The following is a 9,490-nucleotide window of genomic DNA, read 5'->3' as shown; positions in this document are numbered from 1 at the left end:
CAGCTTTTTATGAAAGATCTAATAACAACCCTGTGAGACGGGTATTTATTATTCTCTCCATTTTGCAGATGGAGAAACTGAGGTTAAGTAACTCACCCAAGGTCACACAGCTAGTAGATCGCAGTGACAAGACTTGAGCGCAGAAAACCTGATTCCAAAGTCCACGGGCTTAACCACTACTCCATGCTGCCATCTGCAGGAAGAGGAAAGGGAACCGACAAGCTATTTCCAGGGCGTCACAAACACCTAATGAAATGTGGACATTTCGCTACAAAAGACAGCTGGCTCACAAAGACCCAACCAACTAGTTAAATAAAGGGAAAGCACTGTTTTTTGTGTTATTTCTATTTTATGTTGTGATGTATTGCTTTATTGAATGATTAATGTTTAAATGACCACATGCATTAATGGCTATTAATAAATATAGCTGGTTTTAAAAAGCTGCATCTTTTTTGAGTGAGTATTTGGTGGGGAGGGAGGCAGAGGATGGATCATGAAAGGGGTACAGGAGTACTCAGCATTTGAAAGGCCATCAGGGTTTAGAGCTGAAAGGAAACATTCATCACTCACATCTGAGAAACACCTTCCCAGGTGTCAGGCTTTGTGTCTGACCCTGGGGATACAAGAATTGATAAGATGAGAGACATGTGAAAAATTAACTATGAGTTAAGGCAGAATAGCACAGGGGATATACACCAAGGCTTCCCTCAACCATGCCTTCTCTTTCCCCATCCCAGAGGAGACTGAGCCATAGTAAAGCAAATCACACCACACTGTGAACTGGTGCAGCTCTACATACAAACTCTTCAACCTCTGCAGAGCTCTCATGCTGCTATGCCATCCTTTCAAGTGCACCTGGTCAGCTCCCCCTTCCATATCTTCAAGGTGAGTTCTTAAGACCCCACATCTTCTTTCTCCTATAAAGCTGTGGCCAACAGTAGGAAGAGCTTAAAGCTTCCACCGCTCCACCAGCAAACTTCTCTGCCTCTACGTCTTCCATTCTTTGTGTCTTATCTTCATCCTTCCTCACTGTGGGGAAAACCTCAGAGATGATCCAGTTGGTCTGAGCTCCATGAAGGGCCCAAGGCCATGGAGCTACCAATGAATAGAAACCAAGATGGCATGGAGAGCTGAGAGTGGAATAGGAAAGGAGAGGATGTGGAGCTAAGGAGGAGGTTTGAATAACAAAGGAACATCAACTAGGAGGTCCAAATGGTTGCCCCAGTGATGAGGCAGCCCAGTTTATGGAATCAGGAATGGAAAAGACAGGTGAGCAGTACAGTGGGTCAGGTAGGCAAGTGGATGGCCTGAGATGGGGCTGAAGTATAATAGAGTGGTTATAAGAAGGGTGCTCAGTATCCACAAGGTACCAGTTCAAACCCAGGCTCTGCCATTTATTTGTTGAGGGACTTTGGGAACGTCTTTCAACCCCACCACCCCCAGCCTCAGTGGATGCATGTAAACTGGAGATGATAGCACCTGACTCATAGACCTCAGAGGGTGGAGGGGAAATTAGGTAAGGAATGAATTAAACAGCTGCCACATAGTGCAGAAATCAATGGTGGTTGCTGCCCTTTGAGGACAAATACCTAAGGCAAAGATGTTACCTCAAGTTGGCATTTAGACAAAACCTCAATCAAAATGTTTGTGCTGAGAGCCAGCCAGAGAGTGGACATATACATTCTGCAGGGATGGAGTCGGACTTTATCAGGTTTATAATGAGAACGACCTTGACCCAGTCTTGTTTCTAATACAGGAGGCAGATTCCTCCAGTAGGGTGATTTTACATTCCAATTCTCCTGGACAGTCCCATGCCTGAACTAAATCTATTCATACCTATTCAGTATTTTTAGTGCTTTCTTTTGCTCCCCCAAAGTGTCCCACTTACGATGATAAATTACATGGCTACCCTCCCAAAACATTTATCTAACCTAGAGTGATGGTTACCAGAGGCTGGGAAGGGAAGGATGATGGGGAATAGGGGGAGGGGAGGATGGTTAATGTCTACAAAAAATAGAAAGAATGAGTAACATCTAGTGTTTGATAGCACAATAGATTGACTACAGCCAATAATAATCTAACTATACATTTTAAAATACTAAAAGAGTATAACTGGATTGTTTGTAACACAAAGGATAGATACTTGAGGTGATACATACCCCATTTACCCTGATGTGATTATTACACATTGTATGTCTGTGTCAAAATATCTTATGTACCCCATAAATATATACATCTCCTATGTACCCACAAAAGTGAAAGTTGTAAAATAAAACAATCTAAAAAATTATCTAGCCTAGATCCTTAGCAGCATTCCACTGGCAGAGACCATTAGCTGCCACTAATTTCTTCTCCTCTGCCTACCTTAGAAATAAACACTCATTTTTAGTTGATGAGCAGATTCCCTTGCTACTGGGTATTATGTGACTAAGTTCTGGCTAACAACATGTAACTAGGGTTATGTGTGACTTCGGAGAAAGACAGCACCTTCTTTGATCCTTCCTCCCTACTGCTGGCTGGAATGCAGATGTGATGGCTTCATGTGAGCTGCCATCTTGGATCATGAGGTAGCAGTCGTCTGCTGAGAATCACAGAGCATCAAGGTAAAAGGGGCATAACACCAGCTCTAAACTGCATACCTCTGGACTTCTTTTTTAGAGGAGACAAAATTCCACCTTGCATAAACTACTTTTATTTGGGGTTTCTGTCACAGACAAACATGATCCTAATGGATATACTCAGGGGCTAAACAAGGACTCGCAAATTCTCTGTCTCAAGTTACTGGAGATGGATGCTGGGCTGACGTGGGAAAGGTTATAGTGGCTGTGCGGTGGTTAGGAGCTTATGCTCAAGTCAAGCAGACCTGAGTTCCTAATTCTACCTTTTAATAGCTACATGAACTCGGGCAAGTTTCTTAACCTCTGTGAGCCTCCCTTTTCTTATCAGTAACATGTGGGTAATGTTCTAGCAATTATGTTCTAGTTTAGTGTGAAGATTTAATGATATAATATATACGATGTTCTCAGCATAATGCCTGGTACACTGTAAGCCCCCTGTAAATGGCAGTTCTTACCATTGCTGTTATCACTACTGTTCTTGATTATTGTTATTACTGTTGCCTAGGTTCCCCTGGAAACAGCCCCTCTTTATTTTGATATATGACTGCATCAGGGCCAGGAAGCTGGGCTTGGAATCACCTACGAATTTCTCTTGTATGGGAGCAGCAGACATGTCCATGGCCAACTTCTGTCCTCAAGGCATCCCCTGACCTGCAGGAGCTGTCAGCAAGAGGCACATATGCAATTTCACAACCAGGACCTCATGCACTGCTCCCAGATATGTGACAGGAGGGACGCCCAGGAACCAAGTGTTCCGAGTATGAACCCTGAGCAGCCTGGAAAAGACCACGTCTAGGGGAAGGACATTCATCCCAGATTCCGCGGGTCAGGTAGGACATTCATCCCAGATTCCATGAGTCAGGTGAGGCATTTATCCCAGATTCCACAGGTAGGTCAGATGTTTATCCCAGATTCCATGGGTCAGGTGGGACATTTATCCCAGATTCCGTGCGTAGGTTAGATATTTATCTCAGATTCTGTGGGTCAAGTGGGACATTCAACCCAGATTCCGAGAGTCAAATGGGACATTTATCCCAGATTCTGCAGGTCAGGTAGCACATTCATCCCAGATTCCATGGATCAGGTGGGACATTTATCCCAGATTCTGTGCATCAGGTGGGACATTCATCCCAGATTCTGCAGGTCAGGTGGGACTGAGACCCACAGAATGTATCTTGCCTGTAGCTATGGATACCCTAAGTCAATGGTTTCCAAATGCTGGTGGGAATCAGAATCACCCAGGGAAGCCAGGAGGAATGCCAAGGCCTGGGCCCTTTCCTCCTTCAAGGAGCCTGAGCCACTGCACTTATTATTAGCACTCTTGGTGACTGCCCACAAAGTTTGAGAACCACTGTCTCCAACTCAGGGAACATCCTGAAACAGGGTAGGGGGAGAGAGAAGCTGAGATTTGTAAACCAAAGAAAACATCTCACTGGGCCACCAGAACTGTATTGCCCCCTGATCCGTGTCCCCATTCTCTCTCACCAGGGTCACAGCAGCAGCCTCAAAAGTGGTCTTCCTGCCTTTGATCTCACTTCTATCTCTGGGTCATTGCAGCCAAGGTGATCTTTCTAAGTCATGGATTTGTTCGTGGAACCCCTCCCCCACCCCATGATTAAAACCCTCAAGGGCTGCCCATTGCCTCCCAGATAAAGCCCTAACTCTTTATCATGATTTGTAGGACCCTTTTCGATAGGATCCCTGCCTGATTTTTCTAATTCAGTGGTTCTCAGTCGGGGGTGATTTTGCTCCCCCACCTCCAATTGGGGATATTTGGCAATAATGCCCGGAGACATTTTTGGTGGTCACAAGCAGGGAATGAGTACTACTGGTATCTAGCAGGAAGAGGCCAGGGATGCTAAGCATCCTAGAGTGTGCACGACAGACCTCTGTAATAAAGAGTTACCCCAGCACCAAATGTGAATTGTCCCAAGGCTAAGAAACTCTCCCCTAGCCTCACTTCTTGCCACTTCCCTCCTCTCAATCCACAGTCCAGCCTCTTAGGCCTTATTCCATTCATCCAATGTGCCACTCCTTCCCTACCCATTGAGCCTTTTCACTGGACTGCTCTTCTCCCAAAATACCATTCCTACCACCTCTTGGCTTGGCTAAACTGCACTTGCCCTTTTAGTCTCAGATGTCTCTTCTTCCAGGTAGCATCTTGCTCCAAGACTGAGTCTGTTGCCTGCGATTTACCCATAGAAAAGCCCCTACCACATGATGCTGTAATCTCCTGTTTGCTTGTTGGCCTCTCTCACAAAACTCTAAGCTCCTTGGGGACAGGAATTGGATCGTGTTCAGCTTTGTACTCACCTGTGCCTAGTACAATATCTAGAACAGAGTAGGTGCTCAATGAATACTTGTTGAATGGATAAGTGAATGGATGAGGTGTTAGAATACACTGCCAGGAAATAAGAGCTAGACTGACAGCTCATGTAGGCAAGCCAGACTGTAATCTAGAAAAACACTGAGCCCAATTCCTGGTCTGGCCTGGCAACTGTGATCTAGAAAAAGACTGAGCCCAACAGAATCCCAGCGTATGTTGTATCAGGGAACGAGCTCCATTAAAGAGCTAGGGATGGGTGGACACTTATCCCCTTTCCTGCTGCTCAGTGGAAGACAGGTGGCTCCTGTACAAAGTTAGGTTCCCCATTTTTTTTCTAGATCCCACCCTTTCATTTATTTCCTGCCCTGTTTGTTTTATTGTTTGTTTGTTTGTTTGAGACAAAGTCTTGCTTTGTCACTCAGGCTGGAGTGCAGTGGCACGATCTCAGCTCATCGTCACAACCTCTGCCTTCCGGATTCAAGCGATTCTCCTGCCTCAGCCTCCCAAGTAGCTGGGATTACAGGTGCGTGCCACTGCACCAGGCTAATTTTCTCTATTTTTAGTAGAGACGGGGTTTCACCATGTTGGTCAGGCTGGTCTTGAACTCCTGACCTCAGGCGATCTGTCCACTTTGGCCTCCCAAAGTGCTAGGATTACAGGTGTGAGCCACCGCACCTGGCCCCTCTTTGTTTTTAATAGTAATGGATGCCTCTTCACCACCACCATCCCCTCAGAGCTAGATACTCCCCACTAGCTACTGCCTCCTCCCTTCTCTTCTCAGCCAAGAGACTCAAGAGTAGTGTAGTCTATGCTCAGGGACTCCACTTCCATCCAGAACCTCCAGGAGTGCCATTCACATCATGCTCTGTGAGGGTGACATATCTGGAAACATAGCTCTGTGGAACACAGCAAGAGAGAAGCCCCAGGATTTGAGTTCTACCCACCCCTCCATCCACTGCTCTCTGGCTCTCATCACCGCACTGAGCCAGTTCTGAGTAGGGTCATAGAAAACACCATATTTGCCCAGCGAAATAGACATTTTGAGTAGTGATCTTACACAACCTCTGAGGACAGTGGCTCGGTCAATCCTTCTGTCCTTCTCCACCCTTGGCTCCCCTGACTCCACTCCCTTCTGCTTTTCCCTCTCTCTCTCTGACTGTGCCTCTATTTGTGCCTTAGTTCTTGACATTCATCTGAATTCCCTTCTTGGCTCTTCTTATCTTCTTTTTCCTCCCACTCTTTCTAAGTGATGAGGAGGTAGTGAAAGCTCAACACATGAACGGATTCCTAATCCAAATTGTTAGCACTCCTATCCATTTGAATTCTTAACTCTTTCTTGAATCCACCCTCCTCTTACTATCCCTACTGCAATTGCCCACACACATCCCACCCAGCTGCCAGTGTGGCTTTTCAGTGGAATGGGACTCTCTGTACCTTTCATCACTTGAATACTTCCTCAGCCTCACACCCAGACAGGACATCTTTCAACTGTATTAAATCAGAAATCATATCATATTTCATCAAATCTAAAACACTGTGCTGCAGCACTCTGTTGACCTTTCAAGAAGGTACCAAAGGGATATTTCCATGCAGCGTGGCTGCCAGCACTTATAAATGGATGAAAGTTATGCTGAGAGGGAATCAATAGTCATAAGACAGAGATTTGTTTGTCTTCTAAATGGTCTACTCCAAGAATGTGAGAATCCACCATGCAGTTCCCAGGACAAAATCAGGAATGGCTGTCATCTGGCATTGATTACAGAGGACTGGAGAAAGATGGATCTGGGATCATGGACAGGGAAGAAAGAAAGAAAGAGTAAGAGAAGGAGAGGCGAGAAAGAGAGAAAGGAAGGAAGGAAGGGAAAGAGAGAGAGAAGGAAGGAAGGAAGGAAGGAAAGAAAGAAAGAAAGAAAGAAAGAAAGAAAGAAAGAAAGAGAGAGAGAGAGAAAGAAAGAAAGAAAAGAAAGAAAGAAAGAGAAAGAAAGAAAGAAAAAAGAAAGAAAGAGAAAGAAAGAAAGGAGAGAAGGAGAGAGAGATAAGAAAATGTACTTCCTAGATCCCATCCAATGTGATTGTCTATGGACAATTGAGACCCACGAGGAAATATTTGATGCTACCCTTTTGATCCTGACGATACCAGGGATTGGCTTCGAATAACCCTGGTTCTTTCTGACAATGAACTGGGTCCTTTCAGATCTAATAGGTCATAAAGGCAATTTTACAAAAGTGAATTCAATCTCATTGTTAAACTATTAGAATAATTAAATACCCCCATTCCTTGTGACCTACAGGAGAAAGTCCAAAATGTGAAAGAGCATTATGTGGGTGGGGACTTAGAGAATATTGGAAATCTCCCAAACCCTCTAAATATATCCCTACTGCTTTGTTATTGCCAGGCAGCTTATAAACAGCAGTGACTGCAGAGGGAGGAGAGGTGGTGAGAGTGAAAGGCTGCCATGTGCATGGTGTCTGGCTCAGCCTGCCCAAGAGGCCAGCACCCCATCATTCCCCAATAAATCAGGAGGTCATTTTTCACTGAACTGAAGCTAAATACTCCCATCGTTTTCTCCCCTAACCAGTCCCAAGATTGCTCCGTGCTCTTTATTACCTTTCAATGACTTAAGCCCCTGAACTGAATAACTTCATCAAGGTGTCAACCTAAACAGATTTTCCCCATAATGGTCCAACTCTCACAGGTTCTTAATGAAAAATATTGATTTCTAAGGATTAGTTGCAGATTTATGTGTTGGGATGCTGATCTCTCTGTCACCTGACACCTTATCAGTATATGAAAAAACCTAGTTTCTCCTTCGTGGTTTTTAAAAAAAAAGCAATCACCGGCTGTGTCAAGGGGCAGCTTGGGTCCAGAAAAACAAATAAAATTCTCTGTCTGGATCCCATGGAATACTTAACAGCTAGTGGGGGTGTGGATGGGGAAGGCGCTGAGACACCTGTCTGCCTTCCTCACTAGCATCTTCACTGGTTGGGTTGTGGGGAGACCAGGTGCAGAGAAGCTGGAAAAGCAAATGGAACAAGCATCCATCCCTCTTGGTATGACAGATCTCCAAGACACAGTCTGGAGAAAAGCTTGTCGTGTACACCCTGTTTGGGGCTGGAGACACCAACTGGAAGAAATACAGCAGCTGCCATCTCAAAGTGGCATTCAATCAACACCAGGCTAGGTTGGCTCTGCCAACTCACTCTGTTAAACGTGGTTCTCAAGGGATGAAGTTAAGACTTTGGCACCTAAAACCTCAGCAAGTTGCAGAGCAGAGCAGAATCTCTCCCATACCCGGAAATGGCTGGAATGGAGTAAGATTCATTATTTATCTATTTGATAAATATTTATGGAGGGTCTATGTGCCAAGCACTATACTAGGCAATGGGGACGCCATAGTCAGCAAGGCCAGATGTGGGTTCCTGCCTTCATGGAGAAGGTGACCAACACACACACACACACACACACACACACACACACACACACACACACTCACACATACATGTAGAACTGCAACTTCAACACGATTCAGGAGAATGGGGACACAGGGCTGCAGCAGCCTGTAATGAGGGCATTTACCCAGTAAAAGACGTCAAGAGAGATTTGTCAGAGGAAGTGATGGTCAAGGTAACACCTGAAGGATGAGAAGGAGCTCACTGGAAAAGCAGGAAGAGTGGGGAGCATGTGGGCACAGGAAATAGTCTGTGGGAAAGCCCTGTTCCGGAGGAGCCCAGCACCACCAGTGTGGCCAGAGTGCAGAGAGAGCTGGTGGTAGGCATGACACAAGAGGGCTCCGGAGAAGTGGGCAGAGGCCAGATTGTGCTTTGGGTCACTATCCCAAGTGCAACAGGAAGCCATTGAAGGATTTTCAGATCCACACCTTGCAAGGATGACTTCGGTTGCTCGGTGGAGAATGGATTGCAACAGCCTCACCGTGAAAGCAGGAGGAAAGGGGCTGAGGAGGTGACTGCAGTGGTCCAGGCAAGAGATGAAGCAGTGATGCTGCTGGAGACGGAGAGAAGAGGACAGAATCCAGAAATATTTTGGAGAAGAAAAATCAAGAGTCATTGGTATGGAATCGAATGTGGGGTGGGGATAGGATGAAGGAAAGGAGGTGACAAGGATGACTCCCAGACTTTTGACTGAGCTGCTCCTTCTCTGCAGTGATGGCCTCCTCGTTTTGGGCCACTAAGGGCTTCTCCAACCACTGGGAAGCACTTCCAGAACAAGGTCCTCATTTCCTTTTCAGCTCTCACAGCAGGGACTGGCAAACTTCCATAAAGAACAACATAAAAAATATTTTAGATTTCAAAAGCTGTACCATCTTTGTCTCAATGACTCAACTCTGCTGCTATAAAGCAAAAGCAGCCACAAGTAATATGTAAACAAATTATTGTGGCTGTGTTCCAATAAAACTTTATTTAAAAAAAAACAAGTGATGGACAGGATTTGGCCCTCCAACTGCAGTTTGCAGACCCCTGCCCTAGAGGACTGGGAGGAATCTGGAAACTAAGCTGAACTCCTACATTCCCCAGGCCTGAAGAACTG

Source organism: Homo sapiens, chromosome 16 (assembly GCF_000001405.40).
Source record: "Homo sapiens chromosome 16, GRCh38.p14 Primary Assembly".
Lineage (NCBI taxonomy): Eukaryota > Metazoa > Chordata > Mammalia > Primates > Hominidae > Homo > Homo sapiens.
This window is presented reverse-complemented; position numbering follows the sequence as displayed.